Source organism: Homo sapiens, chromosome 10 (genome assembly GCF_000001405.40).
Source record: "Homo sapiens chromosome 10, GRCh38.p14 Primary Assembly".
In the NCBI taxonomy this organism is placed as follows: domain Eukaryota; kingdom Metazoa; phylum Chordata; class Mammalia; order Primates; family Hominidae; genus Homo; species Homo sapiens.
This window is the reverse complement of record NC_000010.11, coordinates 11,273,026-11,290,116: the sequence shown is the minus strand read 5'-3', so window position 1 is coordinate 11,290,116 and position 17,091 is coordinate 11,273,026. Positions and strand designations below refer to the sequence as shown.

At 47.1% G+C, this 17,091-nt stretch overlaps 1 protein-coding gene across 70 annotated transcripts in view; it reads right to left on the bottom strand.

The window, feature by feature from the left end:
• The window catches only part of CELF2 (CUGBP Elav-like family member 2), an 874,126-nt gene that overhangs the window by 46,559 nt on the left and 810,476 nt on the right, over positions 1–17,091 (bottom strand). For all 70 annotated transcript variants that reach the window (XM_047424494.1, NM_001326323.2, NM_001326320.2 and 67 more), the window contains 2 exon segments: positions 14,997–15,060; positions 1,565–1,699 (listed from right to left, as the gene is read on the bottom strand). In XM_047424494.1, the coding sequence (XP_047280450.1) occupies positions 1,565–1,699; positions 14,997–15,060 (199 nt within the window).

Below are 17,091 nucleotides of genomic sequence, written 5' to 3'. Positions count from 1 at the left end.
TGAGTTATCTTAGCTACACCAATCAGCCGACAGCTGCTTCTGCATTTGGCTTCTTAAACTGTCAAGCCTCCTTTGGACTGAAGATGCTCCAAAATGCATTCACAATACTCAGTGCTATTTTGGGGTAATCAAAGTGCTCACAGGGGAGAAAAAAAATCCCTCTTAAGAAAATACATTTTAATCTGATTTGTGAAATCTAAGTTGGGAGGGTCTAATTTTCATGTTTTTAAAAAAATGACTTATTTTTATGAAGGGGAAATCTATCATGTTAAAAATGTTTATTTCTCAAAAGGGATCGTTACAGGATTTACTTAAGTAAGTTGATGTGTTGCACTGAAGCTATCACTTAACTTCCTGAAATTAAGGGTGACAAAGTTGATTTTTCAGGAATAGTGTTTATTATATTAGATAAGGCCCTCATACAGTAACGGTATGTTTTTGAAGACACTGTACACAGTGAAGTCAATACACCTGCCATGCGATCTCAGCACATTACAGGGAAATCCACCAGCTTCTCCTAAACATCTCTCAGACTTCTCCCTCGAAACAATCCCCCAGGTGAAATGTCTTAGATACACAATGTTTTATGCAGAGACAAAGGGCAACTGCTCTTTTGAGAACTGCCAGCTCTAGGAACCTGCCTCATTCCTCCCTCAAGTCAAAAGCCCTAAAACAGCCAGCGTGGAGTGGGCTGTAGTTTTCGATGTGTGTTTCCTGAAGCTATTTTTTCATTAACGTTTTTCCAACACTTAGCTAATCCTTGGGGCGCAGCTGATAGGGGGTCATGGGATTTTGAAAGTTAGAAGGAAGCTTGGAAACTGTCCAGGCCATCTCCTTCATGTAACAGAAAAGGAGGTGAGACCATCTATTGAGGTCTGGAAAACTCAGAGATGGAAAGCCAGTGAAACGTTCGACTTTTTTAAATTAAAAAAAAACAAAACAAAACCTCAAATCACGGTATCTAAGCAACCACATTCTATCTGGCTTGTATGAAAAGACAACTGGCATCTGCTTTTGAACAACAAGGCAACAAAATTTGTGAAGAAAAAAAGACTTTAAATGACACACCCCAGAGCCTGACCAGAAATGAGCAAACATGTTCCTTACTGGACCGTGGATTTTAAAATCAAATGTGATGGATGGAGTTGCTGTGAAATGTGACATGGGAATGACTAGGAATTTTGAAACAGAATTCTTACATTGTCTTATTTTTTGGAAAAGGGCAGGACAAAGAAAGACTAAGAGACGGAGGCTCTTCACAGTGGTAACAACTTAACTAGTGTTGAATGGACTAGTGTTTAAAACAGAGTGAATGTGTGAGAACGGCTTGCACAGTGGATTCTCACTGAAAACTTTTTTGCATATTATCCATGGAAAATAAAAGACAAATTCGAACTTTGACCATTTTTAAAAATAAAATAACCCAATGACATAAAGCAGCCCAGTATAGTATCCCGGCTCCATCCTGGACACGTCTAGCCTCACCCTCGCACCTGGAGGCACGGAAACCTACCTGCCACTCCTGCTGCATCACCTGCAAGGGAAGAGCACCCCCCACACTCACCGGGACTCGTGAGGGCTCCCAGGGCGCTGCTCGTGGTAGAGAGAGGGTTTGCATTGGTGCTGGTGGCTGAGGTCTGGGCCGCAGCTGCAGCAGCAGCCAGCGTCGCCAGGTTCTGCAACTGTAAAGCATTCATGCCTGTGGAGGGAAGAGAAAGTTACTTTCAGCAACAGGCCTCACACTTCTACAGTTTCCAAACAAGAGCAGGCTCATCAAATCGTCAGGACACATGATGAGAGCAGACGACCCTGTGCAAGGTCACCTGCCTGGGTGGGAGCTGGGCTCTCCAGCCCTCTCCTCCAAGGCCACCTCTCCTTCAGTTCTCTCTGATGCAATTGCTCTTCCTAGAGACCACATACCCAGAAAGGAGCCTGAATCCCACCCCGTAGTTCTCCCTGGCAGAGCCTGCGCTTCTCCCTCGCTAACCAGTATTCTCAGCCCAAGGCCTTCCTGCCATGCTGTAGAGATAAGTGGAAAAGAGGAGAGATTTCAGTGCTGACTGGCCACAGTAGGGCCTTGTGGACTGGCAGCTTCTATGACATAGCTGCCAAGACATGGTGAGATGTGGCAGCAGCTGGAGGAAGGGCTTCAAGGTAAACTCAGTCCCTCAAAACGAGGTATTTCAGAAGAAACTACATTTTACTGGAAGCTGAACTGGTATGGGTTCTAAGCCTGTTAATCTATTTCTTGACAGTGAATGGCAGCATTAACTGAACCCCACCTTGAAGGGTTGTTGTGCAGATTAAATAAGATGATGAAAGCAAATTACTTTGGCACAACGTTAAGAGCTCAATGAATGTCACCTTTTATTTTTGTTATTGCTATTGCCATTGAACTTCTCTCTCTGGATTCAAGTGTGAACCCTAAAATGTGTCCATAGGGAGTTCAAATTTCATATTTGATGAACACAAGAATGACTGAATAGAAATGGCTGCACCTTAATAGTTTTATTTGTAAAATATTTGTATTTACCTTTTAAAGCGATTTATATTTTAAAAGAGGGACTTTAACTAGAATAAATGTGTGACTCATGAAAATTATGAAAAAAATAGAAATGAAAATTAGCATGAAGATAAGAGTGGGATTAGCTGAGAGATTTGGGGCAACAATCTAGGGGTGGGCTCAGCCCTGGTGTCTACACCGGATAGTTAGTTTAACTATCTTTTCTCCCTGTAGCCCGCTTCCATCTCTCAGTCCAAAGGTTCTCTGAATGGTCAAATTATGTTTCTATGATTCACTTTACCAGAAGACTGCACATGTGAGAAGCATGAAACAATGGTTCTCTCCCTACACAGAGGAACTGAAGATAGAAAGATGGTGGACTTCAGCTTCATTTTACCTTCTTCTCTGGTCTTAAGTCCAGATACTTAATCAATATCTACGGAGCAAATTCAGTCTTCTTTAGGGAGAGTGCCCTGAGAGCTGCTTCCGTAATGTGTGTGTAGGGGCGCTGGTGGAGGGATGAGAGAATGTTCTAGCAACATACATGTGTAAGCCCCCAGCCACGGGCGCAGCTCAGTGCCTGGCTGCTGAGTGCTCTAGACAGCACTCTTCTGCCCTGGCCTCCTCAACCAGGGTGCATTTCCACTTAGAAAAAAGTTCCTCCTGTCTTGGTTGCTAAATGGATTTGCATTTTGTCCAAAGTGATACTCTGTCTTCTTCCAGGAGACATCCAGACCTTTTGGCTTAGGTTGAAAGCCAAGCACCTGCTTTTCAAAACCTACTTATTTCACAGGGATGCTTGAAAGTGGGACAGAAGTATTGTGTAATCCTGTGAATTTCTGCAAGAAAAGGGCAGACTTCTGGCAACCTTGCTTCATCAAGTGAACATAATCAAAAGAAAGCACTCTCTGGTTTTCTCTCGTCAAGGGTCACACAGTGCCATATTCATGAGAACGTGGGTGTTGAGAGGCCCTGGTCTCATTTTTCAGTTTTACTTTAGGAAAATGGAGGAAATATGCAAATTGCCTGGCCCTACTGCAGACCAACATGGCCCCAGCAAGGGGCTGTTTCCTACAAACACATGAATGCATGTTTGACTTGAGTGTGAGGGAGCACCAAGGCTGTGCGAGGTCTTGCAAGGAATGAGGTACATTCACGCAGGTCTGTCCATGCCCTCTGGGCTCTCTCATGATGTGTGCTTCCTCTAACGTGAACCATGACCAGACCACACCACCAACATATGGCTGAGCACACAAGAACAGGGCTTAGCACCAAAATCAAAGCCTACAATATGCATATGGCACCGATTAATGACAGGCAGAGCCACCATTCTAGGCTTAGGCCAGCGGGTCCCCCTCCAGGACATATATGACCCTCCCAGGTAGGAGCCTCAGTGATGGAGCTGTGTTGATGGCCTGGCTCAGCTGGCCCACTTGGGTCAGAGACATGAGGTCCCTGGCCAAGGCCTCACAGCCATGGAGGAGACCCTCCTGGGCCTTGGCAGAGCCTTCTGCCCCATCCCATAGCCTCCTCCTAAGGAGACAGGGTTTACATTTAATGCACACGCTTTCTCTGTTAGCTGCAAATTTCTTTATCTGTTTGTTTATAACTCTTTCGTGGCTCTCATCATACCCTATGTTGACATTATTTATATGTATTTCTTGCCCTCCCAACCAGATACCAAGTTCCTTTAGGACAAAAATTATGTCTTACTCATTTTCAAGTCCATGTAAAAACACACACACACACACACACACACACACACACACACACACACACACACACACCAATATATATAGTAGGTGATGAGCAAATCTATGTAAGACAAACAAACAGGGTAACAGACAAGTTTGACATTTACATAAATTGCTCTGAAGAGTATTGTCTGTACAGAGCTAGCCAAGGTTTTAGTTTTCCCCATTATTTATTAGTTCTTTGGTATTTACAACAGCATCAAATATTGGCTGTTTCCTCTCAATCATTAACTAATCCACTGTACAGATACTTACTAGGGCCCATGTTTAGTCCTTCTCTCACCCACTGACATTCACTAAAGGTCCTGGAACTGAGCTGACAGCACTCAGGTTCTCTCCACTGCCCGCTCCTTTAGGATCCAGGGCTAAGGGCCTGGGTGTCCTCCTCTTCATTTCTCCTCCACACACTTTACCATCCAACAGTTTCTGACATTCTCCTAAGCCTTTCCCTGCTGCCGCCTGGAAAGTCCAGGGGGAGTGGCTGAGTCTCTGAGGCACCACACGGGGGCATAGCTAACACTGCTCAACAGCCAGACTGCAAGGAAAGGAAAAACTATGAGTCAAGGAAGCTGAGATGAAGAGTGGAAAGGAGAGGACACTGTGATCCCCAGCATCTGAGGGATGTGAGGACAAAAGGAGAGAAGAAGAGTTAGTCAGAACCAATCAAGGAGGCGGATCCATATTTGCTCGTCCATCTATCTGCCCATCCATCCATCCAACCATCCATCCATATATCCATCATCCGCCCATCCACCCACCCACCCATCCATCCATCCATCATTCCGCGTAACCACCCAACTATCCATCCATCCACTTAATTATCCATCCACAGATCCACTATCCTCCCACCCATCCGTCATCCACACATCCATCTCTCATCCACACACTCATCCATCCCTCATTGTGGAATAGATGCTCCCACCCATCTATCCATCATCTAACCACCATCCAACCATCCACCCATCCACCCACACATCTACCCAACTATCCATCCATCCACTCACCTATCATCCACCCATCCATCCATTATTCTCCCACCCATCCATCCATCATCCGCCCACCATCCATCCACCATCCATCCATCCACCCACATATCTACCCAACTATCTATCCATCCACCCACCCATCCATCCATTATCCTCTCACCCATCCATCCATCATCCACTCATCCATCATCCACACACTCACACATCCTTCATCAGCACACCCATCCATCCCTCATTGTGGTATGGATCCTCCCACCCATCCATCTATCTATCCATCATTCACCCACCATCCATCCATCATCCACCCACCCCTCCGTCCATCATGCTCCCACTCATCCCTCATCCACCCACCACACACTCATCCCTCATCCCCCACCACACACTCATCCCTCATCCACCCACCACACACTCATCCCTCATCCACCCACCACACACTCATCCATCATCCACCTACCACACAGTCATCCATCATCCACCCACCCCTCCGTCATCCACCCACCACACACTCATCCCTCATCCACTCACCACACACTCATCCATCATCCACCCACCACACACTCATCCCTCAGCCACCCACCACGACACTCATCCATGCATCCACCTACCACACAGTCATCCATCATCCACCCACCCCTCCATCCCTCATCCACCCACCACACACTCATCCCTCACCCACCCACCACGCACTCATCCCTCATCCACCCACCACGCACTCATCCCTCATCCACCCACCACACACTCATCCATCATCCACCTACCACACAGTCATCCATCATCCACCCACTCCTCCATCCATCATCCACCCACCACACACTCATCCCTCATCCACTCACCACACACTCATCCATCATCCACCCACCACACACTCATCCCTCATCCACTCACCACACACTCATCCGTCATCCACCCACCACACACTCATCCCTCATCCACCCACCACACACTCATCCATCATCCACCTACCACACAGTCATCCATCATCCACCCACCCCTCCATCCATCATCCACCCACCACACACTCATCCCTCATCCACTCCATCCATCATCCACCCACCATCCACCCATCCACTCATCATCTACCCCACATCCATCTATGATCTGGCACTGATTAATGACAAGCAGAGCCACCATTCTAGGCTCAGGCCAGGGAGTCCCCCTCCAGGACATATTTGACCCACCCATCCATCCATCCATCATCCACCCACCCATTATCCACCCATCGTCCATCAACCATGCATCCACCCACCCACCCATCCATCATTCAGCCCCCATCCATCATCTAGTCACCCATCCATCTACCCACCCACCCATCATCCACCCATCTATCCATTCATCATCCATCCATTATCACCCATCCATCCATTATCCACCCACTCACTCACCCATCATCTACTCACCCATCCATCTATCTACCCATCATCCATCCATCCAACCATCCAGTAATTACTGAGTGGCCATGATGGGCTAGACCCTGTGCAACACACTGAGGATAAAGTAGAAAACATGATAGTCTGTGTACCCGAGCAGATTGCTGGATATCAGAGCAGGGAGATGTCAGGGAGTGGGGAAGAAATCCCACCAGTTCATCAGTTTCTTGAAATAGGCCCAGATTCAGAATGAAATCCTCCCTGAAGTCTTTGATTCGATGGGGATGGTAGAGAAGCACAGGAAAGCAAAGCACAGCCCAGCTGAGAAGCTGCAAGAGATGTCATCCCTTCCAGCCTGTCCCTCTCCTAGTCCTTGTGTGCTGACCCATGAGGCTTTCATGGTCCTCCCAACTCTTATTTTCAGAAGTGCGTGCTCATAAGCCAGGTGTGGTAGCGTGTGCCTATAGTTCCAGCTACTCAGGAGGCTGAGGCTAAAGGATCGCTTGGGCCCAGGAGTTCAAGTCCAGCCTGGGCAACAGAGTGAGACCCCATGTCTTAAAGAGAAAAGAAGTTAAGTGCTTGTACACCAGAGGTGAGGCAGGGCCTCACGTTTCTTGGAACACAAGCTCCACTGGTGACACCAGGGATAACAGCAGCAATCACCACCACCTCCCGAAGGCAGCGCAGGCTGGTCAGCAAGAGCTCAGGTCCTGCTCTCACATGACCCGGGCTGAAAGCTGGCTCTGCCTCACTTACTGGCAGCCTGTTACCTGGAGCAAGCTCGTTACCTGTTTGCACCTTGGGGTTTTCAAGTGTAAAGTGCGACTGAAGTAGAACTCACCTCTTGAGGATTAAGAGATTAAATGGGTCAACACATAGAAAGCTCAAACAATGCCTAGTGCAGAGTTAAGCTCAAAAAAGAAGCTCTCAGACTAATAACTGCAATAATACTGTCCTAAACGACAATGACAGCAGAAGCAAGAACAAAGCGCGTGCCAGGCAAGCTCCTCAGTGCCTTACCCGTGCTCTGCTACTAGGGTTCCTAACACATCCACGTGGTGTGGGCATTGTGACTCTCCTACATGTTACAGAGGAAACGGGCATGAAGAGGTGAAAACACCATGAGCCATTCTCCAAGGGCCACTCCCTGAGAGAGCCCCGCCCCTTCCCTGGGTGCCTGTCCTCTCCCTGCCAGCCTGGCCTACCCACGGGCTGCCCTCTGCCCTCTCGGTCCCCATCTGGAGCTGTTCTGACCTCTTCCTTCTCCTCCTGTGCATTGGTATCCATTTCCTTCCTTAAACTTTGCATCTGAGAGAAGTTTAGAAGGGATAGGGAGGGAGGGATAGGGAGGGACGGATGGAGGGGAGGAAGAGGAAGGAAAGGGCTGGTCCAGCATAGGGTTTCGAAAGGCAATGTGACAGGGGCCCAGAAGTTAACTCTACCCCCCAGGTCCCCATATCCACTGGGAGTGGCCTTGCTCGCCCCACCACAACAGTATGAACAGATGTGAGAGCTGGGGCGGATTCCAGTCTAGCGCTGCTTCACCATGAAGTGCCGCTCCCTGCCCCAGGGTCCAAGAACATTGGGGCCAGTACGAATTTTGTGCAACTCGCCTGAATGCCAGAGGTCTGGGAATGAACTTGTGATCGTGTCTTCATTTGTAACTAAGAACTAGGTTAACCAGTTAACCACTAACTACTTAACTATGTACTACGTTTTGCTCTCTCAATCAATTTGGCAATTAACATACATATATATTTTTTGAGACAGGGTCTTGCTCCGTCACCGGGCTGGAGTGAAATTATGGCTCACTGCAGCCATCATCTCCCAGGCTCAAGCGATCCTCCTACCTCAGCCTCCTGAGTAGCTGGGACTACAGGCGCTTGCCACCACACCCAGCTAACTTTTGTAGGAAAGGGGTTTTGCTGTGTTGCTCAGGCTGGTCGGGAACTCCGGGGCTCAAGTGATCCTTGCCTGCTTCTGCCTCCCAAAGTGCTGGGACTACAAGTGTGAGCCGCCACACCTGGCCTAGTTTCTTAACGTGATTTCCTTCTGCATCCATCCCCAGAATCCCAGATACCACAAACCACTGGCTCTAGCTGCTTCAGTGACCAGACAGACCCTCGTCCGCCGCTGCCTCAGTGCTCTTCGTCGTGTTCTTCATCTACCCCACGTCAGTCCCCTGAACTTGGTGCTTCTGAGGCAGAGGTCCCTGACAGGGTTCAGGGTCTCCACAAACTCTGACATTTTATGAAAAAGTATGTGTGTGATGTGCATGCAAAATGTGTTTGGTGACAGCTCCTAAAAAGCTGAAGAACTTCTGACCTCTTTTGACAATCTGAAAGAGATACAAGTGGTAGTGGAAAATCACTGCATGACAGCCTGGGGGTGGGGCAGTGACTTGGGCCATCAGGAAGAAATGAGAGCTGAGGAGTGAGGACACGGAGAAGAGGGAGGATGAAGACAGTGCCTCCTCCCATTCTGAACACACACACACACACACACACACACACACACGCACACAGGCATGCACACGCACGCCAGCATCAGAAGCAGCCAGGCGAGCCCGAGCTCCTCCATTCTTAGCTACCTTCCTGGGCACAGGTGTCAATGGGGAAGGACCCAGTGGAGGCTGGCGCCAGGAAGCCCTAGAGAGCAGCCCTTCAGAGCCCTAGGACCTCCCCTGCCTCTTGGGCATCTCACTCCAACCAGGACTGAGGCTGGAGGGCAGTGAGGGCACCGTTTCCCCCACCCAGAGCGGCCTCTGTCCACTCAGCCAGGCAGAGGCCGTGGCCCATGTGTCCTCTGTCCATCCTGCCCCATGGACATCCCTGCACCTACCGATCTTCTAGGTGCTACTGACCATCTCATGCTCTGTCACACCACAGTAATAACCCGGGGCGAGAAGAGCGTGGGGACTGTCTTGGCCCCAGTGTTCCTGGGCCCTTCCCTGGCAACGATGCACGTCCCTGGTGGCTGATGTCTTGGCTCCTCCCACCACAGATGGATCCACAGCCACAGCGCCATCACCCGGAACGTGGACATCGCACCTGCCTGCCTTCCCCTCCTATGCGGGGGAGAAACGGTTTTGGGGAAAGGCACTGGCCTGATGTGCGGACACCAGCCAGGGCATCTGGGTGAGGACAGAGGTTCCCTCTCCCTTCTTAGCCGGACTAGGCTTCTCGGGCACAGGTGTCAGGCGCAGGCCTGCTCCTGGATGGGGCGCGGGGCCTCTCCTGCAACTCCCCTTATTCCTCCCCAGAACTAACAGCGGGCTTCACTTCCGCTCATCCGGAAGTCCTCTTTCTGGTTCCCCTCTGTCGCTCTCTCTTTTCTGAGGTATGTGGGTGCCCCGTCCTTTCCCCATCTCAGCCCCTCTCCCAGGCGCCTCCTCAGTCTGCACCCCAAGTCACACTTTATCCCACACGCTCATCCTGAAAGGGCACCAGACCGAGAGGCAAGGGCGCGTGCTTGGCAAACGGTTCCTTTCCGAGAAGAAAAACTGCATTTGACTTCATGAAGCACTCTGCTCAGATGGGCACCTCTCGAACCAGGGGCAATAAACTGGGTGACTGAACATGCAAAACATTTCAGTAAGTTTTAGGAACTCAACGATGGGCTAAGAAGATGGCAAAGAAAGTTGAGAATACAGGGATTCAACTTTCATTCAATACTTGGGGAAAAATATCCTTCTCAAAACGAAGAAATTATGTACCAAACAGATGCGCAATATGCCTACTTGAAACTTAAGATTTAAAAAAAATTATTTATAAGGAGAAGGGCATGAAAATTTAATTTAATGTTCACCTTAGGTAATTTTGTGTCTTATTGTTCATAGCAATTACCATAAATCTGCATATCAATAAGCATGAACAGATGTCAGTTGTTACAAGTGCTTGCCAATCAGGTCTGTTAAAAAGTGACAGATGGGTGGTTATAGAACGTTCTCATAAGGCCTGCAGTGTGGACTGCTGGAGACTCAGCTTGGGGAGGAACCAAGTTCTGCGTGAGTCTTTGTGGATGTACCAAGCACACTTCACCACTCCGGGAGCGCCTCCAATTCGACATTCTCAGACCTCCGATACACTGTTTTTGCAAATGTCTCCCTCCTCTCCACTCGTGCTAGACACCAAGACAGTCTTCTAAGAGAACAGATCTCAAGTTGATAAATGAAGAGCTGCTTCATGGTTTTAAGCAAATATTTGCACTCCATAATGTTATTGTTACCTTCAAAACTTAGACCAGATATTCTGGAAGGGAATTACTACTTGCTTTACTCAGAATCAGAATTGAAACGAAGCAGTTTCCTCCCGTTCATCAAAAGACACTTCCGCCGCAGCTTCAGAACCTCTGGAACTGGTTTAGTAACAATTCTTTATCCTAGAAAAAAATCCCCCCTAAAAAGAAAAACTCACTCATGATAAACTTGAGATGTTTTCCAGGATGAAGGGAGGCAGCTTTCCTGTTACCACCTCTGAAGTGCTTCCTAACAGTGTGGGGGCCGTGAAACACACCTCAAGGGGCTGAGACACAGAGCACGGTTTGCCAGCCTGGGTTTGCATCAGTGAGCCGGACCTGAAGCTTGGTCCTGCCACCTACTAGCTTAGTGCCTTTGGACAAGTCTGCTCATCTCTCTAAGCCTCAGTTGCCCGGCCATGCGGTGGGCTAACTTAGAGTCCCTACTTCATCAGGTTGTTGTGATATTTGGGAATTCTATACCCTAATCCTTGTTAGGTCATTGACTAGTGCTGTGGTCTCACATTACTCACTGAACCTTTTCATCTTCCCTTTTTCCAACCGTAATGTAGTAACAAAGTGGTAGTCACGTCCTTAGCTTGCTATGAGGACAGCTGCATGATTTTTAAAAGGAGCTTTGTTAAAAACAAAATGGTAAAACACTACCCCTTGTTTTTCTGTTATATGATCTTCTGAGTTGATAGTTGTTATAAACAAATTAAAGGCAGAGAAGACACTTTCTCTTACTCCCTTTCTCTTTCAAGAAAAATCCCAGCTCTCAGCCCAAACTCAGACCCCAAGTTTCTGAGATTTCTGAAATTCACTGAACAAATATCACCGCTGAGAGAGAAATGGACAAGTTTTCATTAGAAGTTTTAAGAGGGAAAATAAAAACCAACCAACTCCAAGGAGGCACAAAAAGTAGATATAAAAGCCGTCAATTTATAAAGGTATGTTCCTAATCCATTTTCTGCTTCTAAATTCCATATTTCATAAAGGTTCTCTTGGATAAAAACCATAAAGCACACTTGAAGTTATTTTTAGTTTGAAGGGAAAATGGTAAGATTTTTTGGGAAAGGAAGTATAGCTGACGTCTCATTCAATTTTATACATGCAACTACTTAGGATCCAGTCGTCTAAAATTTCTCTTTCTTTTTTTTGGTTTTATTTTCTCCTGAAGCTGAAAATGTTTCACCCATATAAATGTGGCATTTTAGACTCTAGCTATAAACCTCATCGACCAGTATGTTTTCAGAGTTGTTCACAACAAAATATTATTCGTTTCTAAAATCAGTTTTCACTTTTTGGTGATAGTATTCCAGGCTGGACTGCTTGAATTTTAGATGCAGAGATCATTTTATATATATCTGTCAATGTAATACAGAAAAATTACATGTGAATTGTTTATGTGCCCCCTCTACGTAGGACACAGTATCAATCACTCAATAAGCACTGTAACATCAGGTGGTGTTTGGGATAAATAACCTCTCGGGTTTCTTCAATCCCACTACCATATGCTTTCTACTGTATTTGTTATGTTTTATGTTATACAAACTATCTCCAAATCCTCAACAACTCATTTGTAAAGATACTATCATTAGTTTAATGTTCCTTTGGTTTATACATATTGCTGAAGTCATATTTCTTAATTTAAAAACCAGGCATTTAACTTAAGCTCCACTGGGGATTTATGTCTGTTGAGTTAGAAATCTGTTCACTCATCCACTCGAGGATACTCATGAGCAGCTCTTAGAGGGGTGAGAGCTGAGTCTATCAGCCACGGGGCCATGCTCTCCTGGAGCACGGAAGAGTATCCACAGAGTATCCTGAAGCATCCAGGGAGGTGAGGGCAGAGGGAAGGGAGGAAAGGGCTCTGGGGAATTCGGGAGAGAGGCGCCCCTCTCACATTCGGGGAAGCTGGGAAAGTTTCTCCTAGGAAGGAACCTCTATCGCCCATTCACCATGGTCACTCCATAACATGTGCACAGATTGATGGCAAGGACAGAGTTAAGCCCTACTTTTGGGACAAGACAAGAGCGTAGGAGAGGCCATATAAACTTTTCTTCATTGGTGGAGAAAGTACTCCAAGCCATAATACTTCAAATACGTAGGAAGAGGAGACCTGACGATCCCTATAAATGCAAGGTATCCTTCACAGAGCCCGACAGCTACACCTTGAAGACTGTGAATATTCCAAATACTCTGAATACTCCAGATGATGGTAGGGAATGGCCTGTCCAGCATTTGATTTCCTAGCCTGTGAGGACTTAGTGTGCTGAATTTCACACATTGAGGATTCAAGAAATGGATAATTTGGGAGGCTCAGAGCACATACAGATTGCCTTTAAATTAGCCATCTGCTCCTCGGCACCTTGTAAGGTGACTTCCCAGATACCCTCAGTTTTCAAATGAGCACGCAGAGCGTGCAGGGGCTGGCATCCTGACCTGTGGCTGGTGCGGCACAGGCACACACATCCTAATGAAAGATGACAGGGCACGCTGTCCACCCGGGACAGCACGCTCGGCAGCAGCCTCAGGACCCAGTGACCTTCTCTGCATAATCCAACTGTGGGGGTAGGAAAGCCTGAGGCCACCTCTAAGGAAAGCCCCTAATTTCAGATCCTGGTGAGTCCATACTATGCGAGAAAAGCAAATCTCCCGTGGGCTGAAAGTGTGACAAATCTTAGCATTTATTTTAGAGCTTGCAATCAGGAGGTTTTCTCTTTTAAAACACAGAAAATCCCCTGAATATTTTACTTCTCTCTCTCCAGCTCCTTTCATAGAATTAAAAATAAATTAACCATTCAATGTGATTCTTAGCTCCAAGGCCAGCTTCCCAAACCATATTCGTAAAGATGCTGCTGAATGATTTAACTATCAAGTTATTCCTATTTCTAATAATCCAAAAGCTATGTTACAACGGAACCAGGTGGCAGTGCCAATGGATTTAAAGCCCAACGAGGAATTCAGCAGTATTTTTACTACAGGCCAAGGAAGACCATCAGCTGATGAGCTTCCAGGAGCCTCGGGCCACAACGGCGGGGCTGCCGATCACACACCACACCCAGGGAGAAGCCCCCTGGAAAGTTTTTCCAGATTCATTTGAAGTGAAACAAGAAAAAAAAAATAAACAAACCCCAAGGATACATATTTAAAAAAAGAAACAGAAAGGTAGAAAAAAAGGAGTTTTCATGATGACAACGAAAAAACGCTTCATTCTGCACATGTAGGTTTCATTGCACTGATTCAGGGTGTCCTTGATTAACACAAACCGTGCTTGGTTCTAATATGCCAAAAACCTGTTCTCCTTGCTCTCTCCCCCCACCTTTTTGGAATGAAACAAGGAAAAGGCTCTCTGACCGTTCCTCACGGCAGGTTAATGGGCACCTGTGTTCTGATTTATTGCGCTCGCTGCCTTCCCTGGCCCCGTGTTAGGTAGGGAAATCGGCACGGAAGGTGGCACGGCAGGAGTGACCTTTCGCTAATCACCACACCTCAGTTACTACTGGCGCAGCTCATTAGAAGAAGGAATCCTTCAACGAGCTGGCTTTCAAATACAGTCACACTTTGATTTTCTCCAGAACAAAGATTCCACTTTCACATAAAAGCTTCTGATGCATGATTCTGTCAACTGGGGCACTACGGTAAAAAGGCACCCTGTTAATTGTCTGTCGTTATCAAGGGGCTGCAAACTGCATCAAAGATAGGCCTGCAATCCTGGCTTTCATTACGGAGGTCAGAACATTTTTATTGACTGTCTATTATTAAAATTTTAGAGGGCTGTCAATCATTTGGCTGCCCTAGATATAGGAATCTGGATGGAAAGCCCCCAGTAATCAATCTTATTTATAAAAACAACAAATGACTAGAGAGTCGTTGATATAATCATTTGTTGATATAGATGCCAATCAGGATTTCTCAGCCCCTTCATTCTATAGCGGTCATGCACAGCGAAGGTGGGTAGGTAACCTAAGAAATAACAGAGACACTTCAGAGCAGGCGGTTCCAACGTTAACACCAAAGACAGAAAGCTAACAAGTCTGATCATCATTCTTGGTTCTCTTCCCCTGCTTCTTGTCTTTGCCCTCGGAACCAACCCCAAATTCTGACAATAGCACGGTCAAAAGGAGAGGCGTGCTTCCTGACTTACCTGCCATTTGTTGAATGCCGCTGAACGCACCCAGGTTGCTGGAGGAGGTGGCCTGCTGCAGGAGCTGCGGATGAACACACAAGGGCAAAGTGGAGACGGTGAGAGCAAAGTAACTCCCTCATTAAACTGGGGACAAATTCAGTTTACTCTGCATTTCCAGGGTTGGTTGCTACTCCCTACTGATGGACTGAAGGTCCCCAGAGCTGGGGCTGTAAATCCATATTCATGTCCAATCTCTATTAAGAAACATAAACACTGGGGAAACTCACTAACACTGCTGCCTTAAAACAATTAATCAATTTACTCTTTTTAACAACCAGGTGTTAGATCTATTGAAACCAACATAGCGTGACTAATTATCTCTCTCTGTAGTCTAGCAGTTACCGTAACTCATCTCTGTCAATCAGGGTCCATTCCCTCCCTCTCTTCTACTTTCCAGCACCGTTCAGCTTTCTTCATCTTTCATCAGAAGCACATTGGTTCACTGACTCTGGTGCCAACATAAAGATCATCATGGTAACTACAAACATGAATGCATCTATTCACAGCCGTACAGCTGCAGCCACCACTACATGACCAAGCAAATGGGCAGCCATTTTAAAAGTCCTCACTGCAGAGTGAAACATACAGCTTGTCAAAACTCACAACTATCTGGTGCTATGTACATCGAAGTCACGCGTTGTAAATGTCAATCTTCAAAAACATTAATATACCTATGAGAAAGTCTGCATTTTCCACTAGTGCTTTCAGGGCTGCATTTTTCCTGCCATGCAGAATGAGTGGGTGCCACAAGATAAAGGCATGGAGCCCCTGGGGTGCTGCTGGACTTGTCCAACTCAGCTGAACCGCAGCTTAACTTAGGTGAAAGACTGAGTGTTGGGCTGAACTTATGGATCTTCTTTTTGGTAAGGGAGACCAGTACAGATGCAGTTAGCAGTGTGGGCAAGCAGATAGTTTTCTCCTATATTCAAATGTACATGGATACCAGAAACACAGATTTACCACATTTATTTTATTACTGAAATATTGTCACATTGTGTGCTCAGGAGGAACAAGATTAATTCACTATTTTAAAAACAGCTTTCAGAGCCAGGTGCAGTGGCTCACATCTGTAATCCCAGGACTTTGGGAGGCCAAGGTGGGGGGGGGGGGTGGGGATCACTTGAGGTTAGGAGTTCGAGACCAGCCTGGCCAACATGGCAAAACCCCCATCTCTAGTTAAATTACAAAAATTAGCCGGGTGTGGTGGCACATGCCTGTAATCTCAGCTTCTTAGGAGGCTGAGGCATGAGAATTGCTTGAGCCTGGGAGATGGAGGCTGCAGTGAGCAGAGATGGTGCCACAGCACTCCAACCTGGGCAACAGAGCAAGACTCTGTCTCAAAAAAAACAAAAAAACAAAAAAACAAAACTTTCAGAATTTATTTGGGGCTCGTGAAACAATCCAGAACACCGTTCCTCTGGGGAAGTCCAGGTCTTTCCAGTTTGATATGATAAACCCTACACATGGATATGACTCGAAAATGGATCTCAATTGAGGTAACAGCGCCAAGCAGTGTGGAACTATCAGTGGCTGATTCCAGCAGTCCCCAACCTTTTTGGCACCGGGGAAAGAAGTTTCGTGGAAGACAATTTTCCCACCAGACCAGGGGTTGAGGGGAAGGTTTTGAGATGAAACTGCTCCACCTCAGTTCATCGGGAATTAGATTCTCATAAGGAGCACGCAACCTAGACCCTTCAGCATGTGCAGTTTAGACCAGGTTCGTGCTCCTAGGAGATTCCAAGGCTGCCGCTGATCTGACGGGAGGTGGGGCTCAGGCAGTAACGCTCTCTCGCCTGCCGCTCCTCTCCTGCTGGGCGGTCCGGTTCCTAACAAGCCATGGACCGGTACTGGTACCCAGCCCAGGGGTTGGGGACCCTTGGCTGACTGAAACCCAAGCCTCAGGTACGACGGTATTATGGGACTTCACACTATCAGGTTATACTAAAACCAAGAAAAGTCTGTGTTCAGTCATCCCTCTCCATTCCCTGCCCACACACATACTCTCACGCACACAGAAAGAGGAAGAGAGCGGGGAAGAGGGGGTGGGAAAGCT